The sequence below is a fragment of the Homo sapiens genome, chromosome 6 (assembly GCF_000001405.40).
Source record: "Homo sapiens chromosome 6, GRCh38.p14 Primary Assembly".
Taxonomy (NCBI): Eukaryota; Metazoa; Chordata; class Mammalia; order Primates; family Hominidae; genus Homo; species Homo sapiens.
This window is the reverse complement of record NC_000006.12, coordinates 56,761,593-56,782,770: the sequence shown is the minus strand read 5'-3', so window position 1 is coordinate 56,782,770 and position 21,178 is coordinate 56,761,593. Positions and strand designations below refer to the sequence as shown.

The window sequence follows — 21,178 nt, the reverse complement described above, 5'->3', positions numbered from 1 at the left end:
AAAAGCTAACAGAAGGCAAGAAATAACGAAAATCAGAGCAGAACTGAAGGAAATAGAGACACAAAAAACCCTTCAAAAAATTAATGAATCCAGGAGCTGGTTTTTTGAAAGGATCAACAAAATTGATAGACCGCTAGCAAGACTAATAAAGAAAAAAAGACAGAAGAATCAAATAGATGCAATAAAAAATGATAAAGGGGATATCACCACCAATCCCACAGAAATACAAACTACCATCAGAGAATACTACAAACACCTCTATGCAAATAAACTAGAAAATCTAGAAGAAATGGATAAATTCCTCAACACATGCACTCTCCCAAGACTAAACCAGGAAGAAGTTGAATCTCTGAATAGACCAATAACAGGCTCTGAAATTGTGGCAATAATCAATAGCTTACCAACCAAAAAGAGTCCAGGACCAGATGGATTCACAGCCGAATTCTACCAGAGGTACAAGGAGGAGCTGGTACCATTCCTTCTGAAACTAGTCCAATCAATAGAAAAAGAGGGAATCCTCCCTCACTCATTTTGTGAGGCCAGCATCATCCTGATCCCAAAGCCGGGCAGAGACACAACCAAAAAAGAGAATTTTAGACCAATATCCTTGATGAACATTGATGCAAAAATCCTCAATAAAATACTGGCAAACCGAATCCAGCAGCACATCGAAAAGCTTATCCACCATGATCAAGTGGGTTTCATCCCTGGGATGCAAGGCTGGTTCAATATACGCAAATCAATAAATGTAATGCAGCATATAAACAGAACCAAAGACAAAAACCACATGATTATCTCAATAGATGCAGAAAAGGCCTTTGACAAAATTCAACAACTCTTCATGCTAAAAACTGTCAATAAATTAGGTATTGATGGGATGTATCTCAAAATAATAAGAGCTATCTATGACAGACCCACAGCCAATATCATACTGAATGGGCAAAAACTGGAAGCATTCCCTTTGAAAACTGGCACAAGACAGGGATGCCCTCTCTCACCACTCCTATTCAACATAGTGTTGAAAGTTCTGGCCAGGGCAATTAGGCAGGAAAAGGAAATAAAGGGTATTCAATTAGGAAAGGAGGAAGTCAAATTGTCCCTGTTTGCAGACGACATGATTGTATATCTAGAAAACCCCATTGTCTCAGCCTAAAATCTCCTTAAGCTGATAAGCAACTTCAGCAAAGTCTCAGGATACAAAATCAATGTACAAAAATCACAAGCATTCTTGTACACCAATAACAGACAAACAGAGAGCCAAATCATGAGTGAACTCCCATTCACAGTTGCTTCCAAGAGAATAAAATACTTAGGAATCCAACTTACAAGGGACGTGAAGGACCTCTTCAAGGAGAACTACAAACCACTGCTCAATGAAATAAAAGAGGATACAAACGAATGGAAGAACATTCCATGCTCATGGGTAGGAAGAATCAATATCTTGAAAATGGCCATACTGCCCAAGGTAGTTTATAGATTCAATGCCATCCCCATCAAGCTACCAATGACTTTCTTCACAGAATTGGAAAAAACTACTTTAAAGTTCATATGGAATCAAAAAGCCCGCATCACCAAGTCAATCCTAAGCCGAAAGAACAAAGCTGGAGGCATCACGCTACCTGACTTCAAACAATACTACAAGGCTACAGTAACCAAAACAGCATGGTACTGGTACCAAAACAGAGATATAGATCAATGGACAGAACAGAGCCCTCAGAAATAACACCACATATCTACAACTATCTGATCTTTGACAAACCTGAGAAAAACAAGCAATGGGGAAAGGATTCCCTATTTAATAAATGGTGCTGGGAAAACTGGCAACCATATGTAGAAAGCTGAAACTGGATCCCTTCCTTATACCTTATACAAAAATTAATTCAAGATGGATTAAAGACTTAAACGTTAGATCTAAAACCATAAAAACCCTAGAAGAAAACCTAGGCATTACCATTCAGGACATAGGCATGGGCAAGGACTTCATGTCTAAAACACCAAAAGCAATGGCAACAAAAGCCAAAATTGACAAATGGGATCTAATTAAACTAAAGAGCTTCTGCACAGCAAAAGAAACTACCATCAGAGTGAACAGGCAACCTACAAAATGGGAGAAAATTTTTGCAACCTACTCATCTGACAAAGGGCTAATATCCAGAATCTACAATGAACTCCAACAAATTTACAGGAAAAAAACAGACAACCCCATCAAAAAGTGGGCAAAGGATATGAACAGACACTTCTCAAAAGAAGACATTTATGCAGCCAAAAGACACATGAAAAAATGCTCATCATCACTGGCCATCAGAGAAATGCAAATCAAAACCACAATGAGATACCATCTCACACCAGTTAGAATGGCAATCATTAAAAAGTCAGGAAACAACAGGTGCTGGAGAGGATGTGGAGAAATAGGAACACTTTTACACTCTTGGTGGGACTGTAAACTAGTTCAACCGTTGTGGAAGACAGTGTGGCGATTCCTCAGGGATCTAGAACTAGAAATACCATTTGACCCAGCCATCCCATTTCTGGGTATATACCCAAAGGACTATAAATCATGCTGCTATAAAGACACATGTACATGTATGTTTATTGTGGCACTATTCACAATAGCAAAGACTTGGAACCAACCCAAATGTCCAACAATGATAGACTGGATTCAGAATATGTGGCACATATGCACCATGGAATACTATGCAGCCATAAAAAATGATGAGTTCATGTCCTTTGTAGGGACATGGATGAAATTGGAAATCATCATTCTCAGTAAACTATCTCAAGGACAAAAAACCAAACACCCCATGTTCTCACTCATAGATGGGAATTGAACAATGAGAACACATGGACACAGGAAGGGGAACATCACACTCTGGGGAATGTTATGGGGTGGGGGGAGGGGGGAGGGATAGCATTAGGAGATATACCTAATGCTAAATGACGAGTTAATGGGTGCAGCACACCAGCATGGCACATGTATACATATGTAACTAACCTGCATATTGTGCACATGTACCCTAAAACTTAAAGTATAATATTAAAAAAAAAAAAGAATAAGGAAGACTAATGCCACATATCTACAACCATCTGATCTTTGACAAACCTGACAAAAACAAGAAATGGGGAAATGATTCCCTATTTAATAAATGGTGCTGGGAAAACTGGCTAGCTATATGTAGAAAGCTGAAACTGGATCCCTTCCTTACACCTTATACAAAAATTAATTCAAGATGGATTAAAGACTTAAATGTTAGACTTAAAACCATAAAAACCCTTGAAGAAAACCTAGACAATACCATTCAGGACATAGGCATGGGCAAGGACTTCATGTCTAAAACACCAAAAGCAATGGCAACAAAAGCCAAAATTGACAAATGGGATCTATTTAAACTAAAGAGCTTCTGCACAGCAAAAGAAACTACCATCAAAGTGAACAGGCAACCTACAGAATGGGAGAAATTTTTTGCAATCTACTCATCTGACAAAGGGCTAATATCCAGAATCTACAATGAACTCCAGCAAATTTACAGGAAAAAAACAAACAACCCCATCAAAAAGTGGGTGAAGGATTTGAACAGACACTTCTCAAAAGAAGACGTTTATGCAGCCAAAAGACACATGAAAAAATGCTCATCATCACTGGCCATCAGAGAAATGCAAATCAAAACCACAATGAGATACCATCTCACACCAGTTAGAATGGTGATCATTAAAAAGTCAGGAGACAACAGGTGCTGGAGAGGATGTGGAGAAATAGGAACACTTTTACGCTATTGGTGGGACTGTAAACTCATTCAACCATTGTGGAAGTCAGTGTGGTGATTCCTCAGGGATCTAGAACTAGAAATACCATTTGACCCAGTCATCCCATTACTGGGTATATACCCAAAGGATTATAAATCATGCTGCTGTAAAGACACATGCACACGTATGTTTATTGCAGCTCTACTCACAACAGCAAAGACTTGGAACCAAGCCAAATGTCCAACAATAATAGACTGGATTAAGAAAATGTGGCACATATACACCATGGAATACTATACAGCCATAAAAAATGATGAGTTAATGTACTTTGTAGGGACATGGATCAAGCTGGAAACCATCATTCTCAGTAAACTATCTCAAGGACAAAAAACCAAACACCACATGTTCTCACTCATAGATGGGAATTGAACAATGAGAACACATGGACACAGGAAGGGGAACATCACACACCGGGGCCTGTTGTGGGGTGGGGGGAGGGGGGAGGGATACCATTTGGAGATATACCTAATGTTAAATGATGAGTTACTGGGTGCAGCATACCAACATGGCATATGTATACATATGTAACTAACCTGCACGTTGTGCACATGTACCCTAAAACTTAAAGTATAATTAAAAAAAAAATAACTAACAGATTTGAAAAAAAAAAAAAAAAGAGAAAAGAATAAGGAAGACTCTGGGCACCAGTAGGCCCTCAGACCTGTAATCCTCTTGCAATATTTCTGCCTCAGTTCTGTACCATGATAACCTGGACAATTTTGATTTGTTTTTATCCTAATTCATGGTGTTGCTTAGGGAGACAGAGATGAATGAAAGGCTCCCAATTCCTTGATTTCATTTATACTACTGACTTAAAGAACTATGCTAGTAGAAGCACTCCTTGGATTTACTCAATTTTTGTGCTTATACGTGATATAATAAATTTGTAACTGGAATAACTGAACCAAGGAATATTTACATTTAAGTTTTCTTAGACCTTCTTTTGCATTTAAAAATACTCCTTACAGGCCGGGGGCAGTGGCTCATGCCTGTAATCCTAGCACTTTGGGAGGCTGAGGTGGGGGAATTGCTTGAGCTCAGGCATTTGAGACCAGCCTGGGCAACATGGTGAAACCCCATCTCTACAAAAACAGAAACGCCCCCAAATTATCCAGGTGTGGTGGCATATGCCTGTAGTCCAGGTACTTGGGAAGTGAGGTGGGAGGATGGCTTGGGCCCAGAAGGCTGCAGTGTGCTGCAATCATGCCATTGTACTCCAGCCTGGGCAACAAATCAAGACCCTATCTTAAAAAAAAAAAAATCCTATGTGGGAAATGCTTCTTTCCTATTTCTAATGATTCACTTCATATGACAGAGACCCCATTAGTGTAATATTTATGCCTTCTTGTGCCTTTTGGAAGTGACTGAATGTGATTGGTGAGTTTCAAATTAGAAAGTGGGTTTATTTGGACCACTCACTTTTTCCTCTTTCTTTTATGAGCAAGCTATCTGTGATTTAGCCTGTTCCATCATGCTGTAAGTTTTACAGGGTCAGGCTGTCCCACTTGCATGACACTGCATTGCCTGTGACTGGGAGGGTAAGTCTTCAATTATGGGACTTAGTGTTTGGAAACCATCTACTTGCCTGTAGTAAGTAATATTCTTTAAGCTAGGTTATATTGTTAGTAAAGGTAATATTTTGCTCCTTTTGCCTTCGTATTTCTCTTATCCTTCTATCTAACTTATTTCTCTTACTTCTTATCTATTTTATCTCACTTCTCAGTTGATTCAGAGTTTATTCAGAAACAGGGTTTCCTATTTGTTGGATTGCCTTAAACATAAATGTCTTGTACTTCCTTAGATAAATCAGGGTTAATTCAAGTCAAGTGTTAGGAGCCACTGCCAAGTAAAGAATAATCAGCAATAAGAGAAGCATTTTTGTCTCTGCATGAAGATGAGCAGTATTCATTCTTAATTTCTAGCCAATTTATAAAACATAATGGACCATGTTAGGATGACCAAACAGTATTTGTGTGTGATTCCATTACTATAATTGTTAAAATTTCAAATTAAGCTGTCACAATGCCTGTCTCCTCAAAACTGACTTTTCCCTGGTATGTTGATGAGATTCAAGTCTTGATTTGATTGTGATGTTTAAACAATTTGCTTCGGTAATGCTATTCAAAATAAAATCTCTGGATGTGATAAAGGTCATTTAGTGCCAGTAAGTTTTTAAAAAATATTTTGAAAATAAAAATAAATAATTTAGGTGTAGAGTTTGCCTTTTTAACAATATTTTTTATTGTGAATCTTAAGTCTGCAGTCCTCTTTTTCACTCTTGAAAGGTTTCAAAATATGTGACCCTTTTGAAATTAAAAAAAATTTTAATAAACTTTTAATTTTAGAATACTTTAGATTTTACAATAGTATTAAATAGTAATGGATTTAGATTTAGGATAGATTTTAGATCTTGGCAACAGAAAAGTTGCAAAAATATTACAGGTAGGTCCTGAACACCCTGTGTCCAACTTCCCCTGTTGTTAGCATCTTAAATTAGTATGTACATGTATCATAACTAATGGACCAACACTGGTACATAATCTTTAATTAAATTCCATACTTGATATGAGTATCATTAGTTCTTCCCTAACGTCCTTTTTGTTTTTTTGCCTTCTGGCATCCTATCCGGGATACCACATTACATTTCATTGTCATGTCTCTGTAGTCTTCTCTGGTCTGTGACATTTTCTTAGACTTTCCTTGTTTGTGATGATTTTGACAGTTTTGAGGAGTAGTGGTCAGGTATTTTGTAGAATGTCCTTCAATTTGGGTTTATCTGATGTTTTTCCTATGGTTAGATTGAGGTTATGGGTCTTTGCAAGGAAGACCACAGAGGTGAAGTGCCATTATTAACATATCAATTCACATGTCTTATCAAGGGTAGGTGCTACCCACATGACTTGTCACTATGATGTTATTATCCTTGATTACCTGACTGCGGTAAAGTTTGCCAGGTTTCTTTCCTCCCCCATCCTTACTTACATCATTATTTGGAAGCAAAGCACTGTAAGTGCAGCCCACAACGGGGGATGGGGAATTAAGCTTCACATCCTTGAGAGGAGAATATCTACATAAATTGTTTGGATTTTTGTGTGAAGGAAACTTCTTTCTTCTCTAATTTTTTAATTCATTCAGTCACTTGATGTATGTCAATATGGACTTGTAGATATTTATACTTTGGATTATAATCCAATGTTATGCTACTTGTTTTGTTGCTCAAATTATTCCAGCTTTGGCCATTGGGAGCTCTTTCAGGTTTGCTCCTGTGTGCTTTCGCTATGCTCCTTTGCTTTGTTTTTTGAGCACTTCCTTCCTTTTCTGACATTCCAAGGTGCTTGAGGCTCATCTTGTGTATTTCCTGCCCTAGCCCTGAAATCAACCATTTCTCTAAGGAGCCCTGGTTCCTTTTATTGGAAGCTGATATTAGAAACCAATATCTAAGCGCTGGGCCTTTGAAATGTTTTGCCATCTATCTTTAAGAGTAATACTGCTATTTTGAAATCATAGCTTATAAAACTTTAGACCTATTTTAGTTAGTAAGTGAAATACTTTTTGGTACCCATTGTCTATGTAATTAGGATGGCCACAGTTCCATTTAGAGATAAAAAGGAGATATTCAAGGTTAAATAAACAAAGCAGCCTAAAAGTTTGTGGATAGTAATGACGTTGGCTATGGATGCAGGTGTGCTTGGGTTTAACGGAGACTGTTAGGGTTGTTTAGAGGATGCCTGTTGGCTGAAGAGGATGAGGAGAGGCTTATTTTAGTAAACTGTTCTTCCTCTCCCAGATCAACTGTAATCTCTTCCTTGTTCTTTCTGTTCTTCCTGGGAGAATTTAGTTACTCTTGTAACTAAAATTCCCCTCAAAACTTATTACACTCTACTATTGAAGCTGTTTGCATCTTGCTTTTGCAAGAATCTGTAGACTCCCGGATGTTAGGGATTTGTATTTCTTTTCCTTTTTTTTTTTTTTTTTTTGAGATGGAGTTTCGCTCTTGTTGCCCAGGCTGGAGTGCAATGGCGCCATCTTGGCTCACCACAACCTCTGCCTCCCGGGTTCCAGCGATTCTCCTGCCTCAGCCTCCCAAGTAGCTGGGATTACAGGCATGCACTACCACGCCTGGCTAATTTTGTATTTTTAGTAGAGATGGGGTTTCTCCATGTTGGTCAGGCTGGTCTTGAACTCCCGACCTCAGGTGATCAGCCCATCTCGGCCTCCCAAAGTGCTGGGATTAGAGGCGTGAGCCATCATGCCCGGCCTTGTATTTCTTCTTTGTATAATCTTTAGCACAGAATTTAGTAGGTGATGACTTCAGGGTATTCTGTAATTATGGTTTGAAGTGAACTGAATTCAGTTTTGTAGATAGCATATTTCATCATAGTTAGTGAACAATATAAATGTCTGAAAAGATAAACATACCAGGTTCAAAGAAAAGTTCAAGATGGCAGTAAAAGAGCCATTGAACTGATATGTGTTGAATGGCTAAATGAATATCTTGACTGTTGTTTGTTGCAGGACTTTAGAGGATGATGGGCTGTCAGGGAAGTCTTACCTGAGGAAGTGATATTTGGTTTGGTTTTAAGCTATGGGTAGGGCATGGATGGGGCAAGTTGGCTGGAATATTGTGGGTGGGAAATGACTTTTTTAGAGAGTGTTGGATAGGCCTGTCTGCCGTAACAGAACATTTCAATAGAGACTATAAGGCTGGAGAGGTAAGTTTGGGTCAGGTAGATTGAAGAGGTATGTGAATGTCAGCTTTCTCAGTTAGAGAACCATGGATAGTCATGGATAACTCTTAAATGTTTTGAGCAGGGGAATCAAGATCTGAGATAAATTCTTTTTTTTTTTTTTTTTTTGAGACAGAATCTCACTCTGTTGCCCAGGCTGGAGTGCAGTGGTGCCATCTCAGCTCACTGCAACCTCCACCTCCTGGGTTCAAGCGATTCTCCTGCCTCAGCCTCCCAGGTAGCTGGGATTATAGGGGCATACCACCGTGCCTGTTTTTTGTATTTTTAGTAGAGACAGGTTCTCACCATGTTGGCCAAACTGGTCTTGAACTCCTGACCTCAAATGATCCACCCGCCTCGGCCTCCCAAAGTGCTGGGATTACAGGCGTGAGCCACCGCGCCCAGCCTGAGAGAAATTCTAGGAAGACTGATCTAGAGTAGAGGCTGGAAATTGGTGGCTCACAGGCTGAGTCCAGATGGTAGATATATTTTGTTCTATATACTGTAACAATTTTAAGCCAATATTCAAAAATTGAGAAATATCATAAAAATAGAGAGTTTAGGGTCTTCGTATAAAAGCAGGTGATCTGGCAACACTGGGCCCACATACTCACATGGCAGCAGTTGGTTGGGGTTGAGCAGAAGACAGCACCCTAAGAAGGCACATTCATCCTGATGTTCACCACTGTCCCCAACCTCCCCATTACCTTATGCTTAGTCCACTTGACATTGCCTGAATATCTCATATATATTTGAATTTGGGATTCTTGACTTAGAGATATAGTGTATAGACTTTTGTGGTATTTTTAATAGTGAGATTCAGGGGACCCAAATCTGGGTGGTTGCAAAGGAAATGAAAAAAGTATATATATAAGCAGTGGTTATATAAGAGACAGGGTGAAAGAATAACTAAATAAATCTGGACCAATAACTTATAAGGTCCAAGAGGCTAAAAAAAAGAATAAAAGATGACTGTATCTGTTACCTATTGCTATATAACAAATTACCCCAAAACCTACTAGATTAAAACAAGAAATATTTACTGTATCACAGTTTCTGAGGGACAGGAATCTAGGAATTGCTCAGCTGTGTGTTTTAGGCTCAGGGTCTCCCATCAGGTGGCAGTCAAGGTGTTGTAGTCATCTCAAGGCTCAGCTGAGTTAGTGGATCTGTTTCCAGGCTTACTCACATGCTTGTTGGTCCACCTCAGTTCCTTGCTTGCTGTTGGCCAGAAGCCACAGCATGCTCACCACATGACAGCATGCTTTCCCTAGAACAAGAAACCAAGAGTGAGGGAGAGTAGGCACCCAAGCTGAAGATTTTGTCTTTTATAATGCAATCTTGGAAGTAACGTACCATTTTTGCTGTATACAGTTGGTCACAATGACAACCCTAGTGCACTGTGAGAGGAGACTGTGTAAGGATGTGCATAACAGAGGTGGGGATTACTGGGATTCCTCCTGGAGGCTGGCTATCACAATGACTCTGAAGGACCAAAATATTTGTGGCAGCAACATTCCTGAGGAATTTTCGCTCATGTATGAAATGTTGTTTTGGGGCATCCTCTAATGAAAACTACTTGTGATTTTAATTGTTCTGCTCCACTAATTGACCCTGATTCTTGTTTACTTTTGATATACTCTTAGATAACTTTAGAATAAAATAATTAGCAGTTTTAAAGGTCATATGGGGCATTCCTTTAACTTCATAGGTTTTAAAAATTGGGATCCCGAAAGATAATGACTTGATCGGAATCACATGGCTAATCAGTTGCAGTTCTAGGAGCAGATCGAAGAGAGTTAGCTTGCAGTATGTGCCGTTTCTGCTCTGCCATGCAGTCTCCTGCCCCACGCTCTTCTAGTATGGGCAGTATCATCACATAAAAACATCACTTTAAGAAACTTCTACCTATGATTCAGCTAATAAGTAACATGTATTTTTAGTTCTTATTTTCCATCACATGAAATAATTTAGATGTTATATTGCAAATTTATGTGTTTTTATATGTAAATTTGACATTCGGCTTTACCAAATGATTAAGCATTTACATAACCGAAGCCTGCTAAAGAAGCCTAAAAATATACCTATTTTAAAAGTTGAGATTTTGACATGTCAGCTTTCTTGGCATTACTCAATCCTCATGTCTAAAATAACCTGGACCCCACATGCTAGGGTGTTACTCTTCCCTACTTTTATTTCAGTTTCCCTTTTGGAGAACCTTTTATAACTAATACTGGTATTCTTTTATTTTCTCACTGGAGTATTAATACTTTATATATAAGTCATTCTGCCTGTGTCTTAGAGGCCAAAGTACATGTCTAGTGACTCTTCAATGCAATGTTATAATGGGATTTTTCTCCTGGTTAGAAGTTTTTGGGCTGAGGTAAAAGGTCGGTTACTTTCTAAGTTTGTAAGGTATAGTTTTGTATACATGTATATGTGCATTTAGAAGAAAAGTCCACAGGGTTCATCAGATTCTTGCAGAGAGCTATGAGCCAAAAACTGTTAATGATTTCTAGTGTTTGATGCAGTTTTTTCCCTGTAGTTGTGATTGATTTTGCTCTTACATGTGTGCATTTTGTATTCATGGCAAGCAATGTCCAGGTATTTCCAGTTTTTTAGATAGGAAAATGGAGCCTCAACATCTTGTCCATAAATAGTCAATAATAAAATATATACCTAAATATTTTGATGCAAGGCTTTTGTGTTTATTTGATGATGATTTATACATTTAGAAATGTTAGAAAAAAATAAAATTACAGCAACATTTTAATACTCTGCATTCAGTACAGGAAATTATAGTGTCTCCTTAAATGACACCACATTCTTTACCTATTATATCACAGACAGATCCAGAATGTCAGTTGGACAACTGCTCTTTGCAGACAATTTTAGTCACATACTAGTGTGAGGATTATCATTAGCCTAAATTGGGGGCCCTGTGTTAAAGAATTTATGAACTTCTAAAGTAATACTCAGATTTCTAAGGTAATATTTATGATTCCATTCCCTTTTAAAGAGACTCTTATATAAAGGGAATATAGTTAAGATTCCTCCTAGTAATTGTATAATCAGAGTTTTTTTTTTTTAAGATAAATTATTTTGGGATGTGGTAGCTCTAAGGCTGTGTTTATATTGACCAGAAGAGATATGTTTATAAATAGAGCTTTTCTTTTCTCAAATTCCTACCTTACTCCTTGATAATTTAGGCTCCTTGCTGGATTTTTCTTTTTTTTTTTTTTTGAGATGGAGTTTCGCTCTTGTTGCCCAGGCTGGAGTGCAATGGTGTGATCTTGGCTCACGCAACCTCTGCCTCCCGGGTTCAAGCTATTCTCCTGCCTCAGCCTCCCAAGTAGCTGGGATTACAGGCATGCACCACCATGCACAGGTAATTTTGGATTTTTAGTAGAGACGGGGTTTCTCCATGTTGGTCAGGCTGGTCTCAAACTCCTGACCTCGGGCGATCCACCCACCTCGGCCTCCCAAAGTGTTGGGATTACAGGCATGAGCCACTGTGCCCAGCCCCTTTGTTTTCATTTTTAAAGGCAGCAGGTTTTACTGTAAGAGTCCCATTTTACAGGTGTAGCAAAAACTAGCCTGGGAAAAATCCTGGTTCATCATTTCAAACCCTTATTATGTTGCAGCACTCAGGTAAATTGACTGAGGATGCCAACTTTTAGTTTATCCAGTAGTGAACCTGAGCCCCCAACTCTATGTGGATGCATGGAATGAAATAGGGCATCCCACACTCTGCGTTTTATTGTATTAGCAGGGTTTGAAATTAGGAGAAATTATGATCTTTATAAATTAAATTCAGCTGATTTTCAGCTTAACTAAATTATTTTTATTGAGTCACTGCCTTTTACAACTTGAAGATAACATTAGGTCCAAAAATTATATCATACTTTATGGCGTAACACCAATACCATGAGGCCTGGGAGTCAAACAGACCAAATGTTGAAAACCTGGCTGTACCATTTTTAAGTGGGACTTTTCATGATTTGTCTAACTTCTCTGTACCCCAGTTTCTTTACCAAATTAATGGTTTCCTGGTTACTATTGCATCATTAAACTCTCTTATCTGCTGTTTAGGAGTCTTATCTGCTGTTTAGACACTGATTAAGTTATAACACCAGAATGGATGCTCTGAAGGGCAGATTCATATGCAATGAGAACATATAGTGAGGCTTGACTGAAGGAAGTCAGCAAAGGAACATCAATAAATAACTCTTTAGCCAAAATTTTGATGTAACTGTATTGATTTCCTTACACATGAGTTTTGATATTTTATTTCTACTTTTAGTATCCTTTTCGTATGTGTTAACTCCATGTTGGAAGTGGGCAGAGTATGGATAATAAAGTAATAAGAGAATAAGCTTTTTGAGGACAGGAATACATTTTTTCTTTCCTTCTTTGTGAAACGGGGTCTCAACTTGCAACGCCACTTGCCCAGGCTGGAGTGCAGTGGCGTGATCTTGGCTCACTGCAGCCTTGACCTCCCGGGCTCAGGTGATTCTCCTGCCTCAGCCTCCTGAGTAGCTGGGACTACAGGTCCCTGCCACTACACGTGGCTAGTTTTTGTGTTTTTTTGTAGAGATGGGGTTTTGCCATGTTGCCCAGGCTGGTCCTGAATTCCTGGACTCAATCCACCCGCTTTGGCCTCTCAAAGTGTGAGGATTACAGACATGAGCCACCGTGCCTGACCAATTTTTTTTTAATAGACTTTTAGAGCAGTTTAAGTTTACAGAAAAATTAGGCAGAAAGTACAGAGTTCCCGCATCCTTCCTCTTCTCACATCATTTGGGTTAATGCCTTGAAGTGTAATTGCTGAATTATATGGTAAGACTATGTTTAGCTTTGTAAGAAACAACTCAAAGTAGCTGTATTGTTTTGCATTTCCACCATCAGTTAAAGAGAGTTTCTGTTGCTCCACCTCCTTGCCAGCGTCTGGTGTTGTAATCTTTTTAGATTTTAGCCATTCCAATAGATGTGTATAGTGGTGTCTCACGTTGTTTTAATTTGCAATTCTCTAATATGGTGTTGAGCATCTTTTTATATGCTTATTTGCCAACTGTATATTTCCTTTAGTAAACTGTCTGTTCAGATATTTTGCCCACTTTTAAACTGAGTTGTTTGCTTTCTTATGATTGATTTTTTAAGATTTCTTTGTATATTTTGGATACTAGTTCTTTATCATATATGTGATTTGCAAATATATGTGTATATTGCGATGGAGTCTCACTCTGTCACCAGGCTGGAGTGCAGTGGTGTGATCTTGGCTCACTGCAACCTCTGACTCTCTGGTTCCACTATGCCCTGCTAAGTTTTGTATTTTTAGTAGAGATGGGGTTTCACCATGTTGGCCAGGATGGTCTTGATCTCCTGACCTCTTGATCCGCCTGCCTTGACCTCCCAGAGTGCTGGGATTACAGGTGTGAGCCACCGTGCCCAGCCATGATTTGCAAATATTTTCTCTTAGTCTGTGGCTTATCTTTTCATTTTCTTAACAGTGTCTTTTGCAGAGTGGAGGTTTTTAATTTTAATGAATCCAACCTATGTTTTTTCTTTTATGGATCATGATGTTGGTATTGTATTTAAAAATTCATCATCAAATCCAGGGTCATCTAGATTTTCTTTTATGTTATCTTCCTAAAGTTTTATAGTTTTGAATTTTACATTTAGTCTGTGATTCATTTTGAGTTAAATTTTGTGAAAGGTATAAGGTCTGTGCCTAAATTTGTATATTTTTTGCATATAGATGTCCAGTTGTTCCAGTACCATTTGTTGAAAAGATTATCCATTCTCTGTTGAATTGCTTTTTCTTTTTTGTCAAAGATCACTTTACTAAATTTGTGTGGGTCTATTTCTGGGCCCTCTGTTATGTTCCTTTGGTCGACTTGACTTTTCTTTTGCCAAAACCACACTGTTTCGACAACTGTAGCTTTATAATAGGTATTGAAATTGGGTAGTATTAGTCATTCAACTTGTTATTTTCTGGGATTGTGTTGTCTATTCTAGGTTGGAATAATTTTTTATACCTTAGAAATAAGCACTTGGTAAATATTCTGTGTTGAGAAACTTTTTCTCGGTACACAATGGTTACCTTTTTAAACACAAGTCAGATCTGTTATTCTTTTGCCTCAGCTCCCTCCAGTGGCTTCCTATTTTAGTGAGAATCAAATTGAAGGTCTTCGAAATGGCTTATATGGTCCTGTGGTACCTGGCTCTTCTGTTACCTCTTTAGCTTCATCTTTTAATACTTTTTGTCTTGGTCTCTTTATTTCATACCTAATGGCCTCCTTGCTCTTGTTTGAGTACACCAGGCATATCCTGTCTTAGGTCTGTAGCAGTGGCTGTTGGCTTTATCTGAATGTCTTTCTTCCAGATATCTGTATGGCTAACTCCTTCATCTCTTTTAAGTCTTATTCAGATGCCCCCCTTCTCAATGGGGACTCTCTGATCATTTTATTTAAAATTCCATCTTGCCTCTCACTTGTCCCTCAACCTCCACACCCTCAATTTCTCTTAACCTGCTCTGTTTTATTTCACAGCCATCACTATGAACATCCTCTAATACTTATTTGTTTTATTTATTTATTTATTTATTTATTTATTTATTTATTTATTTGAGACAGGGTCTTGCTCTGTCACCCAGGCAAGTACAGTCGTGCGATACCAGCTCACTGCAACTTCCGCCTCTTGGGTTCAAGCAATTCTCGTATCTCAGCTTCCCGAGTAGCTAGGATTACAGATGTGCAACACCATGCCACGCTAATTTTTGTATTTTTAGTAGAGATGGGATTTCGCCATGTTGGTCAGGCTGGTCTTGAATGCCTGACCTCAAGTGATCTGCCCACTTTGGCCTCCCAAAGTGTTGGGATTACAGATGTAAGCCATCACTCCCTGCCACTTGTTATTTTTATTATTATTGATTGCTGTTTCTCTTTTTGTTAGAATTTAATTCCACATTGTCAGGGCTCTTTGTTTTGTTTACCAGTGTATCTTCAACTCATAAAGCATAGTAGGTTTTCAATAAATATTAGTTTTAAAAAATGTATGAATGTGTAAGTTGAGACTGATAGAGCATTAGCTGTGTGCAAGAATGCTGATTCATTAGATCTTACCTGATCTTTAGCTGATGACCTTCTAAGATGAACTGAAAACTGAAACCAAGCCAAAGAAATGTTTTTAGAAAATTCATTGATTTTTTTTGACAAGCTGCAGCTGCTTGTGGTGGTATAAATAGGTTTCCTTACTGTGTTATTTAAGAGTAGCTTAAGGGCATGAGCCAAGTCAAAACAGAAAAAAAGCACTGACTCATTAGATTTTTAAAGCATGGGTTGTCCACTTGTGTTTCTAGGTTAAGAGAATTGGGGTTTCCCATATAATCAGAACTATTAAAGGTACTGCAAGGCTGTGTGCGGTGGCTCATGCCTGTAATCCCAGCACTTTGGGAGATTGAGGCGGGTGGATCACCTGAGGTCAGGAGTTCGAGACCAGCCTGACCAACACGGTGAAACCCCGACTCTACTAAAAGTGCAAAAATTAGCTGGGCATGGTGGCGCGTGCCTGTAATCCCAGCTACTTGGGAAGCTGAAGCGGGAGAATTGCTTGAACCTGGGAGGCGGAGGTTGCAGTGAGTCGAAATCACGCCACTGCATACCAGCGTGGGTGGCAGAGCGAGACTGAGTCTCAAAAAGGAAAAAAAAAAAAAAAAGATACCGCAGCAATTGCAGAGAAAGGCCTTATATGTCTGATGAGAAACTGCAAGCTTTAGAAAGACAGCAGTGCTATCTTCCCAAACAACATGATAGCCAGCATGTCAAAGCCAGATTTCTTTTACCCATCTTTGTATCTCGGCATCTAGCCTGGTTAGTACTTGGCATGCAGTAGGTGCTCAGAAACTACTTGTTGAAAGAATGCATTGTCAGTGAACAGTGGTCACATTCATGATGTGGAAATGTCATGGACATGGGAGACATTATACTCATGTGTTCTCATGTGTTCTTGTTTTATAAGAACATGCTTTTTATACTGTATCATAGAAATTGTATTAAGCAAATTGACTTTGACTTGAAGTCTCAGGCATGTAAGCTTTCTACAAAATGTGAATCCATGCTTCAATTAATCAATCTTTGAGAGATAAGGCTCAACTTTCACAGTTAGAGTGGATGGATTGGGTTTTGGTCCCATGAGGCTGTAGTGTAAGAATACTAACTTGTGCGTGTGACTAGCTAAGTAGGACAAATCCTTTTGCTCAGATTCTCTTTGCCCACATATAGTTCAAGTAAACACAATGAACCCAAAACCAAATTTGCTAAGTCCTTAGAGGAAATGTTACTTAGGTGTTTTTAGAATGTTTAAAATTTTTGAGTTTTTGGGTGGTAGAGATGCCTTTGTTTTCCTGCTTAGGAAAGTTGAATAAAAGGCTGTCATAGCTCCATTCCTGATAGTTGTCAGGGACCAATAACTGAAGTCTGAGTAAAATCTTTGGAGACTTCTTCCAGATGCTAGTAATTGCTTTAACTTGAGTCTGTCTGGCAGTACCTCAAGATCTCTGTTATATCTCATAACTCATACTTCACCATTCATCTTAACATCTCTGTTCTCTAAGCACAGATTGCTTTTTGCTGCCTCTCATCACCTCTGCCTCAAGACAGACCAGAAATCTCTTGCATATCTCACCTCTGCACTGTACGTTTATTTTACAGTCTTCTCCTTTATGATATCCTGGCATGCATATGTTTCGTGCATTATTTCTACTATGGTTGATTGGAATTCATTCTCTTCATTGGCAGTTCTAGTTTCTACCTGACTTCTTCCTTGAGTGACTTCTTATGATTCTAGAATAGTAATTTGATAACACTTGCAAGTTCTGTTACTGCATTTCAGTATTTGTTATGAAATTCAAAATATCTCAAAACATAAAATTGGGGGCAAATGATATCTGCAGAAACTAGTAAAGAAGGTCAAGGCTTTGCTTTTGAAAATATCATTGAAAATGGGTGTTTGTCATGGTGACTTTCACAAACATGGTGGACTTTGTATAAAACAATAGGATGTTAGAATCTACAGGTTATGGGGTCTCAGAGATTATAGACTATTGTCCAGTAGTCTTACAGATAAGAAACTGGAACCACTGAATAAGTTATTCCTACTCTTACGGCTAGCAAGTAGCAGGCAATCATACACAGATTTCCTGAGCCTGAAGTTAGTGCCTATTGCTTCTTACCCTCCCTCCCTTCCTCCCTCCCTCCCTCCCTCCCTCCCTTTCTTCCTTCCTTCCTTGATGGAGTCTCACTCTGTCACCCAGGCTGCAGTGCAATGGCATGATCTTGGCTCACTGCAACCTCTGCCTCCCGTGTTCAAGCAATTCTCCTGCCTCAGCCTCCCGAGTAGCTGGGATTACAGGCATCTGCCATCATGCACGGCTAATTTTTGTATTTTTGTAGAGATGGTGTTTCACCATGTTGGCCAGCCTGGTCTTGACCTCCTGACCTCAGGTGATCCACCCACCTCGGCCTCCCAAAATGCTGGGATTACAGGCATGAGCCACCGTGCCCAGCCTAACATCCTTCTTTTTAGTGTTCTTCCCACTCCTTCTTTTTTAAATTTTCTTCTTTCTTCCCATAAATATTTGAATGTCTTCTGTCAGCTAGGCAGTGTGTTTACTACAAACAGACATGAAACAAGGTCATTGCTCTCAAGTTTTGCCATTAGGCAAAGCTAGATGAGTAAAGTTAGGGAGCTAGATGAGTAAACATACCGCACCTGCAGCCAGGGGATCCCAGGCTACTAGTGCAAAGGGAGTGTAGAAAATCAAGCAGCATGTCGTGGGGCTCCAGAAATTGCAGAATATTGAAAGTGACCAAAGAAAGTGAAAGAAAAGGCTACAAGCCAAGCAGAATAGTATATGGTATTTGCCCTTACAGTGGTTTGAAGAGAAAACGTTTTGGAGATTGTGCTTGTTGCTTTGCTTGTTGGTGACTTGCATTTTTCAGTTCAGCCACTGGGGAGCATAGAAAAACTGGGAAGAGAGGTTCACAGAGGCCCTTGTCTAGGCAGAAGTGGTCAGACCAGGGTTGATGTCTCTTCCAGAGGCATCTGAGGCTGTGTGTGTGTGTGTGTGTGTGTGTGTGTGTGTGCATGTGCACTTTGGGAAAAGGTTTTGACTGTGAGGAAGGGTGCTCAGGAACAGGTAGATGAATTTTGACTGCAGACTTAATACTATACTTAATTATTGGACTATCACTACTGATAGGTTAGACTATTGCATATTAATCTGTATATTTATAGTATGTAGTTTCATTAGAGGGAGCTCTCCAAACTGGAGAACAGAAATATTTTCAAACCTTAGGTCATTGTGTACTTAGTCTAAGTACATTTTCAAAGTGAAAACTGGAAGTGATGTAGGACTAGAGTTCCTTGTGGGATTGGACCAGCATTCCTCAAGACAAATGGTAATTTGCTAGGCACATCCTTTGGTTTTCTCCCCCCCACCCCCACCCATCCCTATATGTGTGTGTGTGTGTGTGTGTGTGTGTGTGTGTGTGTGTGTATAGGTATTTTTTTTTTTTAAGAGGAGTCTCGTTCTGTCGGCTGGAGCGCAGTGGTGTGATCTCAGCTCACTGCAACCTCCACCTCCCAGGTTCAAGTGATTCTTGTTCCTCAGCCTCCTGAGTAGCTGGGACTACAGGTGCGTGCCACCATGCCTGGCTAATTTTTGTACGTTTAGTAGAGACGTGGTTTCACCATGTTGGCCAGGCTGGTTTCGAACTCCTGACCTCAGGTGATCCTTCTGCCTCAGCATCCCAAAGGACTGGCATTACAGGCGTGAGCCACCATGCCTGGCCCATCCCTATATTTTTAAATTAATTAATCATAGTGAAAAGCTAGGACATGTTGGACTTGATCCAGGCATAAAGAAGCAGCGCTTTGACTTATTAGGTAAGTGATCAGGAAGAGAAGGCATGAATTAATGCTTATGTGGACCTGCCTGAAATATGTAAGGAGAAAACTAGAACACATGGTCATGTATGGCAAATCCCTGAGGTAAACAAGGAGAAAATGCTTTCTATAAAGGTAATGTTCTCGGCTGGGTGCTGTGGCTCACGCCTGTAATCCCAGCACTTTGGGAGGCCGAGATGGGCAGATCACCTGAGGTCAGGAGTTCGAGACCAGCCTGGCCAACATGTCGAAACCCCATCTCTAGTAAAAATACAAAATTAGCTGGGTGTGGTGGCACATGGCTTTAATCCCAGCTACTCGGGAAGCTGAGGTAGGAGAATCGCTTGAACCGGGGAGGCACATGTTGCAGTGAGCTGAGATCACGCCGTTGCACTCCAGCCTGGGCAACAAGAGTGAAACTCTGTCTCAAAAAAAAAAAAAAAAAAAAAAAGGTGGTGTTCTCGTAAATTTGTTTTACCTATGGTATAGTACAAAGTGATTGTTAAAATAAGTTCTTATTGAATGAGAGCAATAAACTAATCAAGCAAAAATATCTCACATTTCAAAATCCAAAAATATGTGTAGAGGTAAAGAGATGAAGGGAAAGTAGTTGCGCAGGTATTTTACATTGTTCTGTTAAGCAAACAGTTATTGGGTGACTCTTAAGTGAAACTGTGATAGTGAAAGAAGGGGACTACAAAAGAGTTATGATAGCATTCTTGTCTTTAAAGAAGTATATAGTTAAGAAAGGGAGGCAGAAGTGCACAGATAATATCAAGGGATGCAGTACGAATTGTGAGTGCGGGCAGCCATTCCCAATTTCCAGATAGCAACACTGGGGCTGGACTCTGGAGGAGCTGCTTTTGAAGCCCACTTCTGCTTTGTAAATTTTTGTTGGGCCTGGGCGAAGGCAAGTAGGCCATTCTGAGATGATTTCTAAAGCCCCTTCTCACTTTCAAGTTATGTGAAACTGTTTTAAAATTTCTAGAGTCTTGTCGGGCACGCCAGCACTTTGGGAGGCCAAGGCGGGTGGATCACCTGAGGTCCGGAGTTCGAGACCAGCCTGACCAACATGGAGAAACCCTGTTTCTACTAAAAATACAAAAAATTAGCCGGGCGTGGTGGCGCATACCTGTAATCCCAGCTACTCAGGAGGCTGAAACAGGAGAATTGCTTGAGCCCGGGAGGTGGAGGTTGCATTAAGTTGAGATTTCACCATTGCACTCCAGTCTAGACAACAAGAGCAAAACTCTGTCTCAAAAAAAAAACATTTCTGGAGTCTTGTTTAAAGTTGACATCTGTGCCATGATGAGGCAGAAGATTGGTTAACTAATAGAAATTGCTTTTGGGGTTTTGGATACTCAGCTATAAGGTGCACTAAATAACCACTAATGTGTAGTGAAAGCAAAAGCTGTATTCAGATTCATAAATCAAGTTTCTATATATAATTATTTGGTAAAAAGTGATTGTGATGTAAGTTCTTCTTTTTTGACTTGAAGTATCAAGTGAGTAGAACCGAATAATCTTTATCTTAGTTGTCAGAAGGAAATTTGAGCACAGTTGTGAGAAGTCAAGCTTATTTTTTTTTTTTAATAGGTTCCTAACCTGGGGTTAAGATGCTAGGACCCAACCCTAGGCCTGTTCACTCTTTGAGGATGAAACCCGGGCATCTGTAAAAAGTTGTACAAATGATTTTAATGTTG

General features: G+C 39.4%; 1 protein-coding gene across 9 annotated transcripts in view, besides 2 other annotated features; it reads left to right on the top strand.

The window, feature by feature from the left end:
* DST (dystonin) overlaps nucleotides 1-21,178 on the top strand; it is a 496,835-nt gene that overhangs the window by 172,060 nt on the left and 303,597 nt on the right. The window lies entirely within an intron of this gene.
* Nucleotides 6,524-7,369: an enhancer, noted in NCBI's record as "OCT4-NANOG hESC enhancer chr6:56640200-56641045 (GRCh37/hg19 assembly coordinates)". NCBI's record gives its function as "activates a minimal SCP1, AML or CMV promoter by ChIP-STARR-seq in primed H9 embryonic stem cells {active_cell/tissue: H9 hESC(primed)}" and the evidence as "EXISTENCE:reporter gene assay evidence [ECO:0000049][PMID:30033119]".
* Nucleotides 15,616-15,735: an enhancer, noted in NCBI's record as "active region_24704". NCBI's record gives its function as "activates an Ori minimal core promoter by ATAC-STARR-seq in GM12878 lymphoblastoid cells {active_cell/tissue: GM12878}" and the evidence as "EXISTENCE:reporter gene assay evidence [ECO:0000049][PMID:35858748]".